The 24,672-nt window shown below is 37.9% G+C and overlaps 1 protein-coding gene across 8 annotated transcripts in view; it reads right to left on the reverse strand.

Moving 5' to 3' along the window:
* SRBD1 (S1 RNA binding domain 1) overlaps positions 1-24,672 on the reverse strand; it is a 222,588-nt gene that overhangs the window by 148,867 nt on the left and 49,049 nt on the right. For 5 of the 8 annotated variants that reach the window (NM_018079.5, XM_047444862.1, XM_047444861.1 and 2 more), the window contains 4 exons: positions 16,077-16,184; positions 13,579-13,736; positions 9,976-10,066; positions 9,186-9,293 (listed from right to left, as the gene is read on the reverse strand). In NM_018079.5, the coding sequence (NP_060549.4) occupies positions 9,186-9,293; positions 9,976-10,066; positions 13,579-13,736; positions 16,077-16,184 (465 nt within the window). Of the gene's footprint in view, positions 1-8,770; positions 8,815-9,185; positions 9,294-9,975; positions 10,067-13,578; positions 13,737-16,076; positions 16,185-24,672 lie in introns of all 8 variants that reach the window. The other 3 variants (XM_011532946.3, XM_047444858.1, XM_047444857.1) reach the window with 1 other exon arrangement.

Here is a 24,672-nt window from a genome sequence, read left to right on the forward strand (position 1 = left end):
GTTCTAGCTAAAGCATCAAAGGCCTGTTTTGCCAACAATAGCAATCATTCATCTGTGTCCTATAAAATGGGTGTGTTTTGGGGGGAGGGACAAGAGTTAGACTTGAGAGAAAAAATTTCTTTGGGAAGATGATTGGGATGCTATGCCATTTTTCCTGCTCTCTCAACATTTCACATAGAAGAATATCTCATCCATCACATGCCAAGTGGAAGGCGCTTTACTGGGAACACTTCATGAGCTTCACATATGCTCCCAGAGTATGGAGTGCTAAACATGCCTTAGAAAAATGAAAAGGAAGAGCTACCTCTGACAGCACAGAAAAGTACAAGAGGAAGGCAAGGATGGGTAAGAAAGAGAATAGGTGCAAGCCTAAGGTATGAGAGAGAAAATTTAAAAGGGAGACAGCTGTGCTAAGGATAAGCTGTTGATACCCATTGGAGAGCAGGCAAGGAGGTATGAGCCAAATGGGCCTGCAGGAAGAAGTGTATGGTAGGCTTTCAACAGATTCTGTCCAAGAGGACTGAGCAGCGAAGTAACGCAGATGAGAATGGCTGGTCTGAAGCCCAGGGCGAGAGAAGGAAAGCCATAACCAGTCAACCAAAGAAGATATCAGCTACATCACAGCTTCCTTGCAAGGGAAATCTCAGAAAACAAAAATAGAAAAATTCTTCATAACACCCCATGAAAGGAAGCATCAGCAATTGTATTTGGGCCACCCAGAGGGCCTTACCCCAGAATGCAACTGGTCCCACTTCCTAAGACCATGCTCTTTTTTCCCATGCTACTCCACTCTGAGGACTAAACTTAGAGGGATCAGAAAATTCAGCTAGTGAGTTAGGGAAAATAAGAATAACAAAGAGGAAAAGAGAGAGGACACTAACTACATATCCCGATAAACTAACCTGCAAATCCCGATAGTGAAGTAGCATCTTCCAGAGTGAAAGAGGCCTGACATTTAATTGAACTTATCTCAAGTTTGGATCTCTGATTATTGCACTACAGAAGATATTTCAACTGCTGAAATGAGACTATGCTAATAACTAAGAGGGACTGAAAAGGCTATGAGACCTGTCCATTATTTCAGCCAGGAACGAACATGAGTTCATCCAAACATGAGTTGAATAAAGAGAGGAGGTAGTAAAGAAAAAGTTGTTCTCTTCTTGTACCTTACTGAGTCTATCTCATTCAATCTGACATTTATAGGTGATAAATATTTGTTGAATAAATGAATGCATAAGTAAAATAACTACAAGAAAATATATAAAAACATTAATATGATTCTCTGAGTAATGACAGTACCAATAATTTTTATTTTCCTCTGGGTATTTTTCTGGACTTCTCAAGATCTCCCTCTTAAGCATCCTTTAAAAAAAAAGAATATTAAATTGCCAGAGAATGAAGGCTATATCATGTACATGTTTCCACAGGCATAGATATCCTGAGGAAAGAACTAAAAGAAACAAGTAATTCTTAACTCAAGTGTAAATTTAGATGATTGAAAAGATCATTATCTATTTTTTTTTATGGTCTTACTTTGGTGTCGGAAAATAGCAAATTTTACATTTAAAGAAAATTTAAAATACAAAACCAATATGAGAAATGAGCTACCTGGATTCATCTTTCACTGAAAACAACTAAAAGACCTATCTTCTTAAAGAGATCTATGAGTTGGCAAGAAAGAAATTTTTTTGCTAAAAAAAAAAAATGAAGTATATGTGGGAACCTTGATTTCTGAAGCTGACTTTCAGCTGAGGGCATCTGCTGAACCAAGTGCATTTTATTTTCAAGTTTCATGGCCTCACAGAGCTTCACAGAACCAGAAGAATAAAATAGAAAACCCAGGATCCACCTAAGATATAGATGTTAACAAAAGATCCCCCACCTACTCTCACATATGTAAAGCTAGGACTCCAGAGTTAGGTTAAACCCTCAGTGTAAGAATAAAACAGAACTATAACTCACTATACTCTACCCCCAGGAGATCACAATGAAAATGGACTATCTCAAACTCAGTCACGGGCTGATGTAGCGGGGAACTACTGATGAGAATATGGAACTATAAGCCATCTGTCTGGTCTGCAGCCTAAATTCACACTACCTGGGTGGTCAGAAAAAAACTCAAGCCGAGAATTTAATTTAAGTGATCCCAAACTGGTAGTATCTAAGGGAGTGTAGCAGAAGCAAATGCAAATCCTCTTTGAAGCAACTTACCATCAGTCCAGGCCTAAATGAATTCCCACAAAGTTCCACCAAAATAAAAAGCTTACCTTAAGAACTGAACAAAAAAGGAAAGAAAGCATCACAAAGCAGAACCAGCAATTACAGCATATAGCAGAAATAAAATTACAAGGATTCTAGAATTATTACACAGATTGTAAAATGCAAAATTTAACATGGTTTAAAAAAAGACAGGCTTGAAAATATAGCCAGGAAAAAAGTGACAGAATCATCAAGCAGATTTGAAAAACACAGAACTTCTAGATGAAAAATAAAACTGAAATTAAAAATTGAATGGGCCAGGCATGGTGGCTCACGCCTGTAACCCCAGCACTTTGGGAGGCCATGGCAGGCGGATCATGAGGTCAGGAGTTCAAGACCAGCCTGACCAACACAGTGAAACCCTGTCTCTACTAAAAATACAAAAATTAGCTGGGCATGGTGGCAGGCGCCTGTAATCCCAGCTACTCAGGAGGCTGAGGCAGGAGAATCACTTGAACCCAGGAGGCAGAGGCTGCAGTGAGCTGAGATTGTGCTGCTGCACTCCAGCCTGGGCGACAGAGAGAGAGTCCATCTTAAAAAAAAAAAAAAAAAATTAAATGAGTGGATGTCAATTCTCCAAAAATTAAATTACAGACTTAATGAGTTAAAACTATAAAACTTCTAGTACAAAACAGAAGAAAATCACAGTAACCTTGATTTTGCCAAAATTTCCAGAATAGAAAACAAAAAGCAAAAACTATACCAAAAAATTGATAAATTGGACTTTCTCAAAACTAAAATTTTTGCCATTCAAAAGATCCTGTTTAAAAAAAAGTGAAAAGTCACAGACTGGGAAAAAATGTTTATGAAACATATACCTGACAAAGGGCTTAATTCAGAATAAATAAAAATACTCTTATTCAATAATCACAAGGAAAACAATCCATTTTTTTAAATGCAAAGATTTGAACAGATACCTCACTAAAGAAGATACATGGATGGCAAATAAGCAAATGAAGATGCTCATGATCATTAATCACTAGGAAAATGCAGATTAAAACCACAATGAGATATCACTACATATCCACTAGGGCAGCTAAATTTAAAAGGCTGACCATACCAAGCACTGACCATAACTTCATAATTCCATTGAGGATACAGAGAAACTAGTGTTACGGAATCCTTAGGGTGTCACTTTTCCAGCCAGACACCTCTGTGGCCAGTGGTGCCTTTGTCCGAGTTTTGCTCAGGCCCCCTGGGCTCGTTCCACTCACTCAAGCTGGCAGGCTGTGCTTGGCTGGTGCTACTGGCCCAGATCTCACCCTGCCAAGGGTGAGCCAGGCGTAGTGCGGTGAGCGGTGTGTGAGTGAGCACAGGGTCCGGCCACTGTGCAGAGCTAGGCGTGCCAGCTGTGGCAGGGCAGGTGGTGCCATGCAAGGCTGTGGCTGGACCAGATATATCACATGCAACTACCACTGCAGACACCCACATCTGGACGAGGGGAACACAGTGGTTCCTGGAAGGTGGGAGATGCCAGGAACCAGAGAGTCCCAAAGAGGGTGCCATAGCCCTGGCTTAGGGAGCACCTAGGTCTGGGCTCCCCAAAGGGCTGCAGCTCTTTTCTCCTTCTCAAGGTCTGCAGCATGGCAGGCAGGAGGGCATGTTTCAGCCCTGTTTGTGTTACAGCTGTTTCAGATCCACCATTTGGTGGAACCAGAGTTCTTGTCCCATGTCCAAGAAGAATGAGGTATGTGGACAACTGGAGGGTGAGCAAGGCAGAGAGGAACTTCACTGAGTGACAGAACAGCTCTCAGAAGACCCAAAGCGGGCAGCTCCTTTCCGCAGGCAGGTTGTCCCAATGAGTGTCTAGCTCTCAGCAGAGAGGAGACCCACAGTGGGTAGCCCCTTTCTGCAGGCAGGTTATCCCAATGAGTGTCCAGCTCCCAGTGGAGAGGAGATGGGCAGTGGGTAGCCCCATTCTGCAGACAGGTCTCCTGACAAGTGTCCAGCTCTCAGCAGAGAGCAGACCCAAAGTGGGTGGCTCCTTCCCATAGCTGGTAGTCCCAACATTTGTGTCAGTCTGGCTGAGTCCAGGGTTTTTATGGGCTCAGAAGGGAGGAATGCATGCTGATTGGTCCATGGGCAGCCATGGGCATGTCTGGAAAAAGTACCATAAGTTCACACTCCCGGCCACAGACTCCACCCAGAACTGGCAACCTGGCCTCCAGACTTCACGTAGGCCCTGGCTTGGAGGTGGGGGTTTCACTGAGACCTGCCCCTTGCTGCACAGGAATGTCTGCCTCCCACCATCAGCATGCATCCATGGTGCATGGGCTGTTTGTGCCAGGGGACACCTGTAGGCCTGTGCCAAGCTGCCCTTAGCCATCACCCCACCCCAGCCTCACTCCTGTGTTGGTTGGTGCCCAAAATCCTGAACAGGCTGAGGCAGCAGGGGCTGGTGTCAGCACTGCCTCGAGTGCAGGCACACCTGTCCAGGTCGCAACAGTGCCTAGGCTCGGCCACAACTTTGCTCTGTTCTGGAGCGGGTGCTGGGAGCAGGGAGAGGCCAGGGAGGTGGAGCAGGTACTTCCGAGCCTGCAGGGGAAGGGGCATCGCAGGCCCCTGAGAGTGCAGGGATGCCCAGGTCCAGAGCTGTAGCTGGGCAGCTGCAACTGCGCCCAGGAGCATGGGGCTCCTCTGCCCCACTAACCTGGTAGGAGGTGGGGCTCCCATCACCTGTGGAGCATGCAACCCAAGCCACAACTCCCCTGCTGCAGCCAGTGTCTTCCCAGCAGCTGCTCCAGATGGGCTGCCACTGCCACCACTAGAATTCTGATACATTGTTGGTGGGAAAGTAAGATGGTACAACCATCTTGGGAAAAAGCTTGACAGTTTCTTAAGTTAAACATGTACCGTATACCATATACCACACAACACAGACTTTCCACACCTAGCTATTTACCTAAGAGAAATGACAGCATATATCCATACAGACTTGTAAATGAATGCTCATGCTGCTTTATTGGTAGTAGCAAAAAACTAGCAACAACTCGAATATCCATCAACAGGTGATTGAATAAACTAATTGTGATACAGCCAAACAATGAATACTGTTCAGGAATAAAAAGAACCACTGGTTTCTGCAGCAACAAGGATGAAATCTCAAAATAATCATGCTCCATGAAAGAAGCCAATAAAAGATTATACACTGTATGATTTCATTATGTATAAATCTAAAAAACACAAACTAATGTATAACTACAAAAGCAAAATGAGTGCCTACCATATGTCAAAAGATTGAAAACTGCAAACCATTCTAGCATATACTTTAAACAAATGACCCATAAAACTGTAGAATTTTTCACGAACATTTTCAACTTTCATTTTTTCATGAACATTTCAACTTCAACTATCACAATTCAGTATGTGATAACTGAGACTCAGCATGGTTACATTCTGCAACTTAACTCCAGTTTAACTTTTTGCTCCTTTGGTAATTAGAATTTGCACCTTTGGATGACTTGCCCCCTAATATGTGTAAGTATCATGATTCGTAAGGTATTTTAAGGGTAGGGAGAGAAATGAATGAGAGAAAAGACAGATGAATGGGTCAGGTTTCCTGGGGTTTATGAATTAGGATATATATCATGGCATTTGTTAACCTATGGCAGCATGTCAGGGCAAAGAGTGTTGGAAGGAACAGATAAGAGGAAATGTGCTGGTAGATATGGCTGGAAAAGGTTTTTCAGGATGAGTGGCTGACAAGATTATAGATTAACCTATCAGATTATCTGTTCAGAAGGTATTAAAAATGGCTGCCAGAGAAAGACTGGAGATTTCAATTTCAGTGTAACTTCAAAGTGTAAGATGAGAAAACATGGTTTTCTCAAACAGGCACTTTGAATTGGCAAAATGATAATAAAATGAAATTAAACAGCTGATTTTTCTAAAGCACTTGCTATAAATTCCAATTAGATATCTGCATCATTTAAAAACTTCAAAAGCACATATTAGCAAACAAATGCAAAAAGTACATTAAAAGACTAATACAGTGTAAGTAGAGTTAAATCAGAACTGCAAAAATGGTTCAACTGTAGAAAATAGCTACCATAATTAACCACACGGGTAGATTTTAAAACCCAAATAATTATAGCAGAAAGGAGAAAACAGACTATAGGAGAAAGACTACCATCCAAAGCAAGTCTTAAATTGCAACAAAATGGGGCTCTTCTGAAAGAAAATGCCTAATAGAGACTATATTCATAAAAGTGCAAAGAAGGCACCAAAGATCCTGGCTAATACGGTGAAAACCCATCTCTACTAAAAACTATAAAAAAATTAGCCAGGCATGGTGGCGGGCACCTGTAGTCCCAGCTACTCGGGAGGTTGAGGCAGGAGAATGGCATGAACCTGGGAGGTGGAGCTTGCAATGAACCAAGATCGCGCCACTGCACTCCCGCCTGGGTAACAAAGCAAGACTCCGGCTCAAAAAAAAAAAAAAAAAAAAAATTTATATTAATGGGGTCTCCCTAAACTCAAAGATTAGCCCACACTTAACATATTTACTACAAATAGCCTTAAAAATAGGAGATACATAACACATTCCATTTTAAATCTTCACAGTGGTCAATGGTGCTAACAGGTAAGTAACATTTCCAAAGATGAAGATGCTAAAGCTAAAAGAGGATTAAAACTATATGGCTAATCAGAGGCAGTAGGTGGCAGGCCTGAACCTAGGTCGTCTCTATAGCCCACATACTTCACTTCATACCACAGCACCTATGGTGAGGCTCAACTAAAATGGCATCTAATTCATATCCATTAATAAGACTGAACATCTCATGATACCACAATACATAGATTTTACACAAGTACGATAGACATTATTACTATCCAAAGTGGTAGATTTTACTATCATCCCTATTGCATCAAGGTGAAAATAAACTTTATGTAAGTTTATTAATTTGCATAAGAAAATACTGCATCTAATTTCACAGCACTTTTAAAGACATATAATTTATATTTATAATAAAAGTACGTATATAAACAAATACAAACACACTCATAAAAAAACATATTGTTTATTAAACCCTTAGTGTTTTAATTTATGTTATCTCACTTTTAATACTGTTAAAAAACCTGTAAGGTAGGTATTCTTTTCCCCATTTTAAAAATGAAGGAAAGTGAAGCTAAGAAAGGCTAAGTAACTCTTCAAAACCTACATAACTAGTAAATGATTAAAACAAAAGATGAGGCCGGGCGCGGTGGCTCATGCCTGTAATCGCAGCACTTTGGGAGGCTGAGGCAGGCGGATCACGAGGTTAAGAGATCAAGATCATCCTGGCTAACACGGTGAAACTCCATCTCTACTAAAAATACAAAAAATTAGCCGGGTGTGGTGGCGGGTGCCTGCAGTTCCAGCTACTCGGGAGGCTGAGGCAGGAGAGTGGCATGAACCTGGGACACAGAGCTTGCAGTGAGCCAAGATTGTGCCACTGCACTCCAGCCTGGGTGACAGAGCGAGACTCTGTCTCAATTAAAAAAAAAAAAAAAAAAAAAAAAAAAAAAAACAGATGAACCCAGATTTGTCTGACCCCACAGTTCATCCTTTCCTTTCTAATAGTACATACTGCCTAAAGTTCAATAAAGGGATATTCTATAAGCAAATGAAGAAAAAACTGAAGACATCTTCACTACTTAATATTTTTTATGATTTGAAAGTTGTACTTATAACCACTACAAATGTATGCAAGATATTTACATGAAATTAATGTGAACAAGTTAAAAAAAAATCAGAGAAGGTACCTGAAATAAACTGAACCAGCTACATCAGTGCTTGTGTTAGTTTCTCAAAAGGACTGGGTGCACGTTTGCAGTTCCCAGAATAGGGAAGATCCACCGTATTTCCCAGGCCAACTTAAATTACAACCAGAGAAAGAGGGAAAAATTCTGCAGTGGATGTTTCAATCTGTTTCCTTCTTGAATCATGATCCCATGGCACCTATCGGTTTGTTCCTCACCTTCTCTTACTCCCCTTGTTACCCTGAGTTTGTTTTTCTGACTGACTCTGACTACACTCTTGGCACTCTTGACTATAATAACTGCCTGGCCTTTACCTTTTGGCCTACCTACACAAATCCTAGAATTCTTCCTGTGTTAGGTTTTACTTTCTGTTACTTTGTTGATCCTGTCAGTCACCTGCTCATCAGTCAACCATTCTTTTAGTTATTAGTTTTCTCACTAGCAGTGGGAGATAGCTCTTGATCACTTTCTGTTAAATATCAGCCATTATAACTACTCTCTCTCCTAGAATTAAATCCTTTAGGACTTAATATTCTACTATAGTTTGGAAAAGGAAGACATGACTATTGAGATCCAAAGAGGAAGTAGGGAAACAATGGTGAAAGAAAGCAGAACTACTACAAATGCAGGGGCAAGACTAGAGAAATTGGGTCTTTCTAATCCAAAGCTATTCACAAGTTATCTGTATGCCTATATGAAATAAAAGTTTGTGACCAAGGGATAAATGAGGAAAGAATACTGGAAATACTTTTTAATTCATAATACTTACCTTGGCTCTCAGTTCTGAAGGGTAATGATTCATAGGCTTCAAAGCTTTGGGAGAAAAAGGCTAAGTTATTCACAGTCTACTAGCTGCTAGCCTGGTACATCATTCTACTTATTATTCAATAGTTAACTAGAACCCTCACACAATGTATAGCCTAGAAAATCCAATGAAACTGAGCCCTAACGTGCTGCTTCTGTAAGAGGTTTCTGGACTCTGTCCTGCTCTAATCATTCCTGTCTCAAATTTCTCCAAGAGTCAGACACTTTACATTATCCTGCAAAGTTCTCATGAACACCAAGAGGTGGTCTGGAGGGCAAAGAAGATGTACATCTTAAAAAGAGAAGGGAGGATTCATCACAAAAGCAACTTTAAAGTTCCCATGCTTCTCCAAGAAAAGAGATATATGTAATAGCCTTACCAGTAAACAACATCCAGTGGTGCAAAATAATTCTTCATTATCAGGTCAGCAAAGTAAGCTTCTGTTTCCCTGCAGGCAGTTCCATTTCCAATCACTACTGTGCTGCAGCTTCAAGGCAGAAACAGAATGACAAACTGAATTTCAAGGCATGCTTTGAAATCAGCTGGAGAAAATGTACAGAATGCACAAATACTATTATATGATTCTCTTATTCTCTCATATATACAAGCAACCTGTCCACTGTTGCATAAGGAAAACACAGACTTATATGGAATAAAAGACACTGCCCTGCATTTGGTATAGGAGGCAGCAGAGAAGTATTTTACTGTCACACTATCTCAAAAAAGTCAGCTTTCTTCCCATCAAGAAGGAACCAAAATCAGAGATAAGTCAACTCTGGAGCATTCTAAGCCATCTAAGCCGTAATAAAGATATTATGATTAAATTATATAATATATTGTCAATTTCTGAAACTTCTAACTATAACCACATCTATTCCTCAGATGGAAAGAAGGCAGGGAGAGAGGGAGAAAATTGGAACAGAAGAATGAACTGCTCACATCTGCCCATATTACCTCCTTTATTTGTAATGGTGGCAAAGGAAGGGAGCAGCGTTTCTCAAGTCTCCACATGCAGAGTTCTCCAGCAATTTGCCCCAGAACTGTTTTATATGGTTTATTGTCTCTCACAAAGGCACCTCCCTTAATCCCTCCCTCCAAATTAGGGGCTTCAAAGGTATCTCTGGTTGACTGAGCCACTGATATATTCAAAAGATTACTTATTTTCATACTTGAAATTCAGCAAAAGTGTCTTTATTTTCTCCGCCTCTCGGAAGCCTTGTCCACAATGCAAGTAAACCACATCAGTATGAAGTATCTGACCTTTAAAAAATGAAAAGAATAAGCCATTTTATAAGAAATTACAAAGTGAAACACATGAATGATTTTGTTAAGCAAGTTGTAACAGAAAAGGAGACTGGCTTGTTTTTTATAATGAAGTCTGAACTATTCATATTCACTAAATCAGATTCTTCCTAACCTCTCTGAAGTATTGCTCTTTCCAATTTCACAGGATTCTGTTTGCTACACAAAACTACTATTAATTGGAGAATATGCTAGGATACCTAAAAGAAAAATGGTTTTCACTAACATCTAACATTAATAGTAGCAAAAGCAAACACTAACTGAATTGTTAGTATATGTCAGACACTGTTGTGAGACTATCCTATTTCTTTTTTTCTGGTTGTAGATACATGACTTTATTTACCTTGTGCATATTTAAGACTTATGAGCTTTTCTATATTGCATTATAAAGAAAAATATTTTTTATTGAAAATATTTATAACAATTAAATTTAAAATAATTAAAATTATTTTGATTAAAAGTATTTTTTAAAATTTGAAGATAACTACCTAAAGAATAAAACTGAGCTAAGAGACTAACTTACAAGTTAGGAAAAGAACAGCAAAATAACCCAAAGAAAGCAGAAGATAGAAAATGTTGAAGTTAAAAGCAAAAATTAACAGAAAAAAATGCAACAGAAAAGATCAACAAAGTGTAGTTACAAATCACTTAAGAGAAAAACATACTTTTAGCAATACCAATCAAGTAAAAGAAAGGATAGAAGATACAAATACAGGAATTATATTAGGAATAAAAAGAAGATATAACTAGAGATTGAACACAGGTTTAAAAGATATCTACCATTATAAACAACTTTATATTAAATTATGAAAACAGATAATTAGAAATATCTTACCAAAACAGCTTAAGAATATAGATGTGTTTGTGACATTTTTAGAACAATTATCCTATAAGCAATACAATAACTGAAAACTGATCTAACAACACACCCAAAAGAAAGTATCATAACCAAGTTCCATTAATCTAAGGAAAGTGTGACTTGACATTTTAAAAAATTCTAGTAATATAATTAATCACAGCAACATAGTAAAGGACAAAAGCCACATGATATATGAACAGATGCAAAAAAAAAAAACACTGATAAAATATATTTCCCACTGGCTGTAAAATGAACAGCATAAAAAGACAACTAGGATAACAAAAACAAAAAGTCACGACTATATCTAGAACATAGATAAAATATCCCCACAAACCCCCACCCTCCAAAAAAGCAGGTGGGAACAATGTACTGACAAGACACCTATGCATCAGCATCTGCATGGAAGGAAGCAGAAAGAAACAGTGGAATATATGATGGAACTGAGAACAGGAGAATCCCAAAAATGTCAAAGGCTACTTCCCTGGAAATCTCAACAGTCAGTTTGAGAACAGGAGCTGAAACTGAGAGAGATTCAGCACAAAGGGGATCCAGTACTTCTGAAAGGATTGGAAAACACTGATCCCTATGAACTCTTGAAACTAACTAGTAAAAGATACCTTTAAAGACAAAAATTCCACACTGAGGAGAAACAATTGGTAATCACATTCAAACTGAGCAAAGTAAAGATAGCAACAGCAAAGGAAAAAGAAAGCCCAGATAAAATAAAGGAAAGCAACAGAGAAGCAGATTCCAGAAACTATAAACTATCTCTCAATCCACACAGAGTTTTTTTTTTTAATGATTTGGAAAAAACAGAAGAGCAAGTTCTAGAGATATACAGTGAGAACAACTTGCCTGACCCAGCTTCTACTAAAAGTTCAAACTAACGTATGTAAAACTAAACAAAAGAAATGCATGATAGTCAAATTCTATATAGAATGATTATTTTTTTAAGCAAAAAAATTTTTAAAAGACTAATATAATGTCCTTACAGAAAGATGTGCCTAATGTATGAGAACAAGCTTCTTAAAAAAAAACATTACAGAAAATAAGAGTAACGTTAATTCTGGCTCATGCTGGTAATCCCAGCACTTTGGAAGGCCAAGGCAGGCACATAGCTTGAGCTCAGGATTTCAAGACCAGCCTGGGCAACATGACGAAACTCCGTCTCTACTAAAAATACAAAAAAAAAAAAAAAAAAAAGGCAGGCATGGTGGTGCGTGCCTATGGTCCCAGCTACTCGGGAGGCTGAGGTGGGAGGATAGTTTGAGCACAGGAAGCAGAGGCTGCAGTGAGCTGAGATCACGCCACTGTGCTCCAGCCTGGGTAAAAGAGCAAGACCCTGACTCAGTAAAAGTTAAATAAATAAAAGAATAACATAAGTCAAAATTAGAAAATCTCAGAAATTAGATGAGATAAACTGGGAATGAATTCGAGATGAAAGAAAAAATTATTTCAGAAATGAAAATCTAAACTTAAAAAATTAAAATAGTAAAGGCTAATAGAAAATAAAACAAGAAGTTAAAAGATCAAAAACATTAGAAATAAAGAAGTTCATAGGGAGCTATAACCCTATTTTTCAAAGTATCAAATGGAAATTCTAAAACTGAAAAACCAACCACTTGAACCCAGTAGATGGTTTTAGTAACAAATTAGACATAGCAGGATAGAGGATTAATTAACTTAGATGATCAACAGAAAATAAACAAAAAGGAGAGAAGAAACTGAAAGGTATAATATGTATGTAATTGGAGTTCCAGAAAGAGATGCTAGAAGCTCCACAAACCCTAAGTGGAATTCATGCAGAAAAGAAAAGACAAGAAAACCCATACATACACACCCACTGAAGCACATCATAAGAAAACTGAGAAACACAAAGAGAAAATCTTAGCAGCCAGAGGAAAAGGACATATTACCTTCAAAGGAACAATAACAAATAACCACAGTTTGGCTGACTTCTCAACAAAAATTACAGTAGCCAAAAAAAAAAAAAAGAATGACATCTTTAAAGTACTGAAAGTAACTGCCAATCTTGAATTCTACACCAAGCAAAAAATATTCTTCAAAAATGAAGGCAAAACAGAGATGTTTTCAGACAAACTAAAACTAAGACAATGTGACTCATTAAAAGTAATAGCATAGAGTTCTTCAGGCAGAAAGAAAATGATCTCAAATGGAAGCACGGAAATGCAAAAGAAATGAAGAATATCAGTGTAAATGTAAGTAAACAGGAAAAAAAATTGAGCAAAACAATAAAAATGTCTTTTGGTATTTAAAATATAAGCAGAATTAAAATGCATCATATATAAATGCATCACAATAATAGAATCTGATGGGGAATTAATAGAGTTCAAGTCCGAGCCTAATTAATCCTCAATATCTCTACTGAGATATAGGAAGCATATAAATGATAGTTGTATATTGAGGAGTTTGATCAACAAATGAGAGAAAAATGAAGTTTGATTATCTGGTTCCCAACACCCCTGTATGTGAGAAAACCACTTTTTAAGCCTTTAAAATTAACATTATTTCCAAATCCTCATGAAATGTATGAAGTGAAACTTATAACCAACCAAACAACTTTTACATGGAAAATTGCAAGACAACTTACTAGTAGGAGAAATTATAGCTAATTTGCAACCATGTTTATAACCAGGATCCACTCCCATTAAGGTGCGCCCTGGAACAGGGCTTGTTAAAAGGAGCTGACGAAGGTTCCGTCCAAACATCATTACTGATTCCTTCTCTGCATCTGATGTTAGTTTGGCTCTTTAGAAATAGAAGAAAAGAAAAAGTTTTTCATTCACCCAAATTTTCTTTCCAGAAAAGGAGCAGAATTCATTTTGTACAATTATTTCTCAAAGGATAATTTATTATAACAATATAACTTAAGAGAAAAATATACAAAAATTATATTGAGTCTATTTTCACTAATCACAGTAATATGATACCACAAGCAATTCTGAAGCAAGTCTTGTAAGTTTATCATACCTACATTACCTCTCTATCTGCTCTCTACTGTATATAAAACCCATATTTATAAATATGTGTATATGTGAGAAAGACAGAGAGTGTACGCACATTTGAATGTCACATGGGATGCAAACAAAAGTAGGCACAGTGGGCAGGGAGAAAATATCCCGGACAATGGAAACAGCATATGTAAAGGCTCATGGCTCATCATAGAAACAGCAAGTAATTTCGTATGCTAAAGTAAAAAGAAACAGCGAGACAGAAGTAGAGGCAAGAAAAAAACAGATCACAAAGGGTCATGCATGTTCTTCTCAAGAGCTTGGATTCTATCCTGGAGACAAACAAGATCAGCTGAAAGAAGTATACAAGCATGAAATTGTGAGATGAGAATTTTGAAAGGGCGATTTGTAATATGCATTGGAAAAGACAAGACAGAAGACCAAGATCATCTATGACGCTAGTTCAGTAATCCAGACAAAAAATGATGATGTCCTGAATTAAGACAGTCACCACGGAGATAAAGGGGAGGAAAAATTCAAGTTATAATAAAAGATGGCAAAATAGATAGCACTTTGTAACTGACAATGTAGAACTGATGACAGAGATAGATGTGAAAAATGACACATGGATGAATGATCATGACAGTCACGGGAATAAGATATGCAGACGTAGGCTATGCATAGTATACAGTCAACCAAATTAAGTGACTGCAAAATAAAATGGTCTAAAAAACAAACCAAGTGGGAGTGTCCTCCTCTTTAACTGCTATTCAGGTTAAGTATTCCTATCAGGAGGCGTATCTGTAGATAATACCTGCAAACTAACTTATAAACTGAAATAAGTTATATTATTTTAACCATGGGCATTTTAGAAAAAGAAAGAGAAAGTACTCTTGCTTATCTACTGCTAATGGAATTCAGAAACAGTTTATACATTAAATGATCCCACATCAAACTGTTTACATTAAACCTTGATGAAATTATTCCACATGCAGTGAAGCTACTCAAATCAAAAATATATGCAAAAAATGTCAAAAGTGCCACTAGACATAAGCAACATGAGAAAACAATAAAAAGAAAAACATACAAAAAGAAATTGAAATTTTAAATAACATAATTTTTTCCTTCAGGAAGAACCAAATTCCTAATTTTTAAAGTGTATGCCCTAGCTCTCAAAAGCAAGCGATGTTAGACAGCTTGAAGTGAAATACAATTCTAAAAGGAACAATATTTTTAGGCTACATCTAGGCTAAAATGGATGTAACAAGAGATTAAATGACTTTGGTAAAAAGAAATTGGACAACAGGACTATGTGTCTTTTTTAATAGTACCTGCTCACTCCCTGCTCTGAACCCATCTTAATTCAATGGTCAAGTCCAGCAAAAGAGAAACAAGCCCTACATAGGCTGCTAAAAATTCTAGAGAGGTTGAAGAGATGGCTACAAAACTACAGTTTTCAAGTAGCCCTTGCTGAAACCTACAAAGAAATGAGAATGAAGATAATCTATAATATTTTGGAAGGAATGAATTAGGGAATGTCTAGTTTCTAAAGATTGGGTGCAAAAACAAGGGTTACAGAGAAGCAAGAGAGAGGAGTTTTGCCTCCCTACATTTCTTTTCTTTCCATCTTCTGTCCTGAAAACAATTCTGCACCTCACCTCTTTTGCAGTTTTCATCTATATTACTTAGTCCTTCTATTAGTCCGTTCACATTGCCATTTTAATAATCTCCTAATATTTATCATTGCTGATAATTTTTCATCCAAATAACTCCCATTTGGAGTTAAAAACAAAGTAATTGATTCATCATGTACCCTACTGATTTCCTTATGCTTTCTTTGGCTCTCTTACCTCTAAAAACTGCCTCCAGCTGCAAGACTAGTATTGCAGGATTTCAAGGGGTACACATTAAGTGGTCAAGATTTGAAAAACATATCATAATTAAGAACTATTTTTATGATCTATGCATGTGAATGCATCTACAGATTGAAATCAAGCCTTAACTTTAACACTTTGTGATGCTGACTAAATTCTTTCGATTGGTTAATCAATCAACAAACATTAGCTACACACTGTAATGGTACTAGTATCATATAACAATAATCAGTACACAAAATTAAACAAGACAAGATATATACCTGAATTCTCTACAGAGAAGAGGATAAATAAGGCGTTTAAAGGAATCATTCAGTGAATTATATAAGATCTTCATTAACTCTGGCCTTGCAAAGCTACGTGGTCTCCACCTGCAAAACAGAAAAGCCCACACTAAAACTGATGCAACAATAAATAAGGCCATAAAAAGGCTCCCAAAAAGAAGGGAGATGGAATACAGAAGCGGGGAAAACCTTTATTGAAGCCAAAGTAACATAATCTGTGAGGAAAGGCTGTGGTATCTGAAAATTATTACTATGACATCTGGAGTTTTTATTTTAAAAATCCTAGTAACTATCTATGGTCAGATATAAAACAAGGAAAAAATTTCCTCTTCAGTAAAGGGTCTCCAAAGCATTATTAATAATGGCCAAAATCTTAAGATACAAGAAAGTCACCAAAAAATTATTACACCACTGCTACAGACTGAATTGTGTCCCTCCCCATATCCATACCTTGAAGATGGGGCTTTTGGGGGATAATCAGGTTTAGATGAAGTCATAAGGGTGGGGCTCTCAGGATGGAATCAGTGCCCTGATAAGAAGAGATAACAGAGGGCTTGCTCTTTCTCTCTCTTTCTCAACCATGTGAGGACACAGCAAGAATGCAGCTGTCTACAAGCCAAGGAGGGCAGCCCTCACCAGAAAATGAATCAGCTGGCATTTTGATCTTGGACTTCTCAGCCTCCAGAACTATGAGAAAATAAATTACTCCGGTTGAAGCCACATAGTCTGTGGTATTTTGTTATGTTAGTCCAAGTTAAGACAGCCACTGTATCCTTTTTTCCCCCTTTCTTTATCTCTTTCTGAGAGTTAAAGTAGACTGAGCAAAGCAGAAACTCTGTTTCAACCCTTGCCTCTTGCCATTTCTGAGAACTTACTCTATTGCTCAGGCCACAATGCTCTACCAGGCAACATCTGCATATGTAATGAGGACTATAAATGCCACAGAACCAATTGTTAATGAACACTGGGGAAAGAATAGAAGAGAAAATCACAAGCTAAAAGGACAAATGTAGCCTCACTGAAACGGTCCCTATAAACCTTATAAAATTAATCAGGAAAGAAAGGAGGGCTAGAAATGAAAATAAACCAAGCTGGCAGCACATTCAGCATTAATCATGAGGTCAGCTCACTCTCTGACCTGCTTCCTCATAGTTGTTTGGTGCCTACTGTCCTAGAATCACACAGACCCTGTTACTAGATTATAGCTCCCCTTAACTGCTCTATAGGTAACAACCTGAACATTATGAAATGTTAAGTTTTCCATTTGAATACTCTTTCAGGTCCTGTGTACCAATGAAACTACTGACATCAGCTACTATGAAAGACTCCCACCAAGAAGCTGACTCACCAAACAGTACAGTTTCCATATGCTGATGATTTTATCCCCCTTACCCCAACCAATCAAAGACCACAAATTTCCAGCTCCTTTCCCTCCACGATCCCCTTAAAAATCCTAGCCCAGGCTGGGCACAGTAACTCACATCTGTAATCCCAGAGTATGGCCTTCCAGAGGCCAAAGTGGGAGGATCACTTGGAGTTCAAGACTAGTCTGGGCAACATAGCCAGACCTTGTCTCTACAAAAAATAAAAATTTAGCTGGATGTGTTGGTGTGTGCCTGTAGTCCCTGCTACTTAGAAGGCTGAAGCAGGAGGATCACTTGAGCCCAGGAGGTTGAAGCTGTAGTAAGCCATGATGCACCACTGCACTACAGCTAAGCAACAGAGACCCTTTCTTAAAAACAAAAACAAAACAAACAAAAAAAACCCAGCCCAGAATTTTTTGGAAAAATGGATTTCAAGGCCTCCTCCCATCTCTTCACTCAGTGCCCTGCAATCATTAAACCCTTTTTTTTTTTTTTTTTTTTGAGACGGAGTCCTGCTCTGTCGCCCAGGCTGGAGTGCAGTGGCGCGATCCCGGCCCACTGCAACCTCCACCTCCTGGGTTCATGCCATTCTCCTGCCTCAGCCTCCTGAGTAGCTGGGACTACAGGCGCCACCATACCCGGCTAATTTTTTGTTTTTGTATTTTTAGTAGAGATGGGGTTTCACTGTATTAGCCAGGATGGTCTCGATCTCCTGACCTCGTGATCTGCCCATGTCAGCCTCCCAAAGTGCTGGGATTGCAGGCGTGAGCTACCTCGCCAGGCCCATTAAACTCTTTTCTCTGCTACAAACCCTGCTGTCTTGGTGTATTAGTCTGTTACGGCACAGTGGGCATATAAACCTGTTGGTCCTATGATACTATCCATTCTGTGTTTTCATCCATCTACAGCATCTCTGCCCTTGCCCTCTTGAATGAAAACCATTAACAAAATATTAATTAATATTACCTTAAGGGTACTCTCATCCCCTTTACTTATCTTAGGCTAGGAAATGAACTACATTTCACTGAACAAACATTTAAGCACTTACAATGTTTTATTCCAAAGATTACATAATAGCAACTAACTGAATCTCTTCCATAGAAAGTGTCATACAGTTTTTAAATTTTAGTGGAAGTGCTTTTAGGCAGGATATACATCCTTCCTTCCACCTAAATCCCTGCTGCTCCCTACTGTAACATTTGCCTGAAGGAATTAGGGATACAGAGGAGTAGGATTTCTCTACTCCATTGAAAAAAGGCATGAATTCAACAAACACACCTTTTTTCAATGAAACAAATATCTAAACAAATGTATGGCACAATAAATGTAAAAACAGAAATAAATGTTAAAGATATGAAGAGCTCAAAAGCAGAAGTGACAGCAAACAGCAGTATAATATACTAGTTAAAAGTATGATCTGTTCTGCTCTATGCTCTATTACTTTTTTTTTTTTTTTTTTTTTTTTTTTGAGACAGAGTCTCATCTCATTCTGTCACCCAGGCTGGAGTGCAGAGGCACAATCTTGGCTCATTGCAACCTCCACCTCCCAGGTTCAAGCCATTCTCCTGCCTCAGCCTCCCGAGTAGCTGGGACTACAGACGTGCGCCATCCCGCCCAGCTAATTTTTGTATTTTTAGCAGAGACAGGTTTTCACCACTTTGTGCAGGCCAGTCTCGAACTGCTGACCTCAAGTGATCTACCTGCTTTGGCCTCCCAAAGTGCTGGGATTATAGGCGTGACCCACCATGTCTGGCCTTGCTCTATGTTCATGGTGGATTTACTTAAGTATATCTGTGCTACTATTTCTTCATCAGTAAAATGGGAGTAATAATAGTCTACTTCATTGAATTGTTGTGAGTTAACATAAGCAAGGGACTTATAATGGTGCCTAATACATTCTATGTAAGTTTTTGCTGCTGCTGCTGCTGCTGTTATTATTAATATGGGGAATCCAATGTCAAGAAAGACTTCCCAAAAGAAACATCTGAGATAGGTTTTTTTAATGAATTGTAGTTTGCCAAGCAAGACAAAAGAATAAGGGCATTCTGGGAAGAAATTATAGCATATGTAAAAGCTTAGAGGCATGAAAAAGCACGGTAAATTGAAGTAACTATAAGGTTAGCGCTTCTAGGAAATAAAGTGGCAAGATCAACAGGAGGAAAGATGAGGGTAGAAAATGTGGCAGTGGCTGGATCATAAAGGGTCTTATACACAAAGCTATGGAGCCTGACGAGGTAGGAGAGAGAACATAGTCCTGAATCATGCAACAGTATGCTAGACAGATAGTCCTTAGAGGTAGGAAGACCCTAACAGAGGGATTTGTTTTAATGTATGTATCTGATTTGTCTCCTAAGGTGTTGCCCTTTAAGCCACTGCTTGCAGGAAAAAGCCAGAAATCTTAAATATCACCTACCCATACCCTCTCAAACCCCCAGTAGTCTTCTTCAAGTCTCAAGATCCTCCCTTGGCTTGGACTGCTCTCCTCCCCTTCCTGGAACAGAGAGCTATGGGTCTATTTAATACTTGAGGATGCCTCAATCATGCCCATTCAGTTGAACTTTAGACCACTAGACCCAGCCCTGAAAGAGAACAGCTACATTCATTTCCTACATTATAGAAACTCCTTTTTGCTCCTTACACCAAAACAATTCCTGCCCTTCACCGGCTTCCTGGGATTTATTGAAGGCACTTAGCATACTAAGGAACCTGAAATAGTATAGTAAATTCACAAACCCTGTTGCTTAAATCTTTAAACTTAAAGAAAATATGATGGGTTTGCCTTACAGGAAGTCATCTCAAAACTTGATTCTTCCTCTAATTCAACAGTTAAATACATCTGAATAAAACTAAGGAGGACTCACTTAAACCAAATATACATTGCAAAACACATGCTATGTATGTTGCATACAATGAAGCACAAAACTGAGGTGAGGGATCACAAACTCCTCCAAAGAAATATTCTCCACTTTGGCAAAGAAATATGCTCTCCCAACTTCATATATATAAGATAAAGACAGGCTCTCTCCACTGGGCTTTCTTTTTTCCACATTTAAAGTAGAGACAGTTTCCCTTAAACCTACTACATGAAAAACAGCAGCACAATTTTAGGGAGAATAAAAATTAACTTATCAAGTCAAAGACACAAAAATCTGCAAACTCAAAAGACAAGTTCTGAAGCCAGGTGTGGTGGTGCATGCCTGCAGTCCCAGCTAATTTGAAGGCTGAGGCAGAAGGATTGTTTAAATCCAGGAGTTTGAGACCAGCCTGAGCAACATAGTGAGATAATGTCTCTAAAAAGAAGTTTTCTTAATTTTTTAAAAAAAATTTCCTTAGATACGTTTTTATTTAGAGAGCAAATGCAGAAACTTAAATTACTGAGGTTCTCACAAACACAGCAACTATTTCAGCATCTAAAAAGCTTAGAAATCCTCTTCATACTTATCTTGTACTAGTAACATACAATTCCAAATGAGGAATTGTTCATTTGCTGAATCTGGACCTAAATATTAGTTTTAATACTAATACATTAGCTTTAAATTATTCCTTGTTATGCTAATTAACTTATGTAATGACAAGACTGCCATTTAAATCACTATTTGCCCTATTACATAGTTCTTAATATATTTATAGTGTGATAGTAACTATATCATCTACCTTATTGTTCAAGCCACACAATTATTTTTTTTTTTTTTTTTTTTTTTGAGATGGAGTTTCACTCTTGTCACCCAGGCTGGAGTGCAATGGCGCAATCTCGGCTCACTGCAACCTCCACCTCCTGGGTTCAAGCAATTCTCCTGCCTCAGCCTCCCAAGTAGCTGGGGTTACACGCATGCACCACCATGCCTGGTTAATTTTTGTATTTTGTGTAGAGACAGGGTTTCGCCATGTTGGTCAGGTTGGTCTCAAAGTCTTGAACTCCTGATCTCAGGTGATCCTCTCACCTTGGTCTCCCAAAGTGCTGGGATTACAGGCGTGAGCCACCACGCCCAGCCGCCACACAAATTTCATGCTTCACTTCACCTCTCCCTAACCAATCCACCCACCATTTAATCAGATACCTTGTCCTGCCCCTGTCTACCTCCTAAATATTGCCCAAATCTATCTACTTATTCCCTATTGCTACCACCCTAGTCTAAGCTACCATAATCTCTTGTGCCATATCTACTCTTGATTCCTTCCAAATAATTATCTACACTGTGGCCTGAGTGATCTTAAAATGCAATCTGATCATCACACTCCTGTATTTAAAATCCTTATTGGCTTCCCACCATCCTTAAAAGAAAAAAATCTTTAGCATACCTGAAAGCTATGTATGATCTAACCTGTGTCAACATCTCAATCTTCATTCCATGTCACTTCTCTTCCTTCTCCTTCTATCTCCAACCTACCTAGCTGTCAAGTCCACACTACTCAGGGCTCTGTTACAAGCACTTTTCTTCTTCTTACTACACTTTTCCTTCATAATCTCAACATACTCGTAATGATTTTCCCAGTGTTGTTCTCATTAAACTACGCTGTCATCATGGATAAGCAGTATATCTGTCTAATTTACAGGGGAATCTCCAAAATCTAGCACATAACTTGAATGGATAAGTACATACAGAAGAGGGTGAAGAAATAGGGAAAAAGAGAGTAAAAAAAGGAACTAGAAGATTCATCAAGTAAGCATTTCTAGTCATTCACATGTGCTTAAAGGAAAAAAAAAAGTTCTTTTGAGAATAATTTTTTAGGTCCTAGAAAAGTGTTTCAGCTCTTGGAATTATCTAAATGAAGAAAAAGTTTCAGGCCGGGCATGGTGGTTCATGCCTGGGGTGGTTCATCCCAGTACTTTGGGAGGCGGAAGTTGGTGGATCACTTGAGTTCAGGAGTTTGAGAACAGCCTGGGAAATATGGCAAAACCCCTGTCTCTACAAGAAAGAAAAATTTAGCTGGGTGTGGTGGTGCGCACCTGTAGTCCCAGCTACTCAGGAGGCTCAGGTGAGAGGACAGCTTGAAACTGGGAAGTCAAGGCTGCAGTGAGCCAAGATCATGCCACTGCACTCCAGCATGAGTGACAGACAGAGTGAGACCCTGTCTCAAAAAAGAAAAGAAAAAAAAGAAAAAGAAAAACTTCCAAACCTGACTGAAAATTATATTACTATGCCATAATGATGTAACATGTTACATTGTAGGCTAAATAATATTACAAATTTTTCAATTGGAGAACTAAATAAAATATAAATAAGCCATGGAAAAATAAATCACTGTAAAAAAATTCCTTGACATTTACTTAGTCTAAAGATAATAAATAGGTTAAAAGCATATTTTTTCTTTAACTACTGAGGACTGACTCTGATACTGAGTATTATGAATATTTACAGAAAAATAAGCCAGAAATTGTCTTTGTGATTTACTAAAACATTTCTAAAAAGAATTAGCACAATAATCCCACTACTTTGTAATAACAGATACCATCAAAGGCCTGTTCTTCACCAGACATTGTGCTATACAGTTACGTAGATTATCATTTAATTCTCTCAAATCTACAAGTAAAGTATTACCATTTTAAGGATAGACAAAACTGAGAAAGAAATTAAGTAGCATGCCCATAGGTGCAGAGGTAGAAAGTAATATAACTGGAATTCAAACTCAAATATATCTACTTCTTAGGAGTTTCCTCTATGAAACTATCTTAGAGTTTTGTCATATCTTAAATTATCTAATTTCCTAATTTTTTAAATCTAGCATTTCTTTTAGGCATACATTTCCTCTTTCCTTTCATTGGAATTTATTTGCTTATTTATAAAGGAAATAAGCATTCATAAAAAATGACAACTAGCCAGGCATGGTGGGTCACGCCTGTCACGCCAGCATTTTGGGAGGCTCAGATAGAAGGACCGCTTGAGCCCAGGAGTTCAAGACCAGCCTGGGCAACATGGCAAGACCTCATCTCTTAAATAAAAAAAAAAAAAAAAGTTTAGCCAGCGGTATGCACCTATGGTCCCAGCTACACAGGAGACTAAAGTGGGAGAATCACTGGAGTCTGGGAGATTGAGGCTGTAGTGAGCTATGATAGCACCTGTGTGCTCCAGCCTAGGCAACAGAGTGAGACCCTGTCTCTCAAAAAAAGAAAAAGAAAAGAAACTATATAGAAAAATATACACAGTAATATAAAGACACTTATTTGCCACTAGTGAAATCATACTATAAATAAATGCTAATTGTAAATTGTCTTTTTAACTTAGTAAGACATGTTCATATTTCAACTTCAGCTCTATTTCCACTTTTTCAAAATGGCTGCACAGAATTCCACCATATGGATATAACATAATTGGCTTAAGCAATTTACCTATTGATTAACATTTAGACTGTTGTTTTACTTAATGGTTGCTTAGTTAGTAGTATTTGGTTGTTAAGCAAGTTGATCCTTCATTGCTTTTAATGAATTAACAAAACAGTTGTGTTGAATGAGATAACTGATTTCCAAAATCCATGATACTTATTTTCAAAGAACAAGTCATCTAACTTTTTAAGTATCATTCCTAGCAATCTCTTTATCCTAAAGTTACACAGAACTAGCTGGTGATGAACTTTATCAAAATTTACATCTCCTAGCTGCTAGGAAGCCACTTTACTTACCTCTTTGTATCAGTTTTCTCACTGGCTAAGTGGTGGCTACAAAATCTGCTCTACCAACTAAATAGATTTTTGTGAGGATCAATTACACTCTGAAAAATTAAAACTAAAAGTAAAAAGTATTATACAAACATGGTGCTATTTTAAAAGGCTCCCTTAACAAATAAAAAGGGTAATAAAAAATTACATAAGCTTAGACATTTCCTTAAAATATCTAATAAATTTAATGTTTCTTTCAATCATCCTTAACATGCAACATTTATCCCCACATACAGAATGCTTATTTATATTGTAATATCCAATAAGTTAATTTTTGTTTCCATCATCCTTAAAGAGCTAAACACTTCAGATATGATACATAGAGCATATTTTTGTTAGTTTATTTTTGCAAGGGAAAAGATGATCTTACAAAAGTTTCAAATAGTACAGAAAAGTAATGAAGTAAAACAGTTCTTCTCCACAGAGATAATCACTATCAAAAATTCCTCACACACCCTCCTGGATATTCTCTGTTTAAATATGCATGACACACATACTTATTTTATTATTTTTTTTAATTCAAAAAGGACACTACATACCTTGTCTGTTATTGGTGG

This window comes from Homo sapiens, chromosome 2, assembly GCF_000001405.40.
Source record: "Homo sapiens chromosome 2, GRCh38.p14 Primary Assembly".
NCBI lineage: Eukaryota > Metazoa > Chordata > Mammalia > Primates > Hominidae > Homo > Homo sapiens.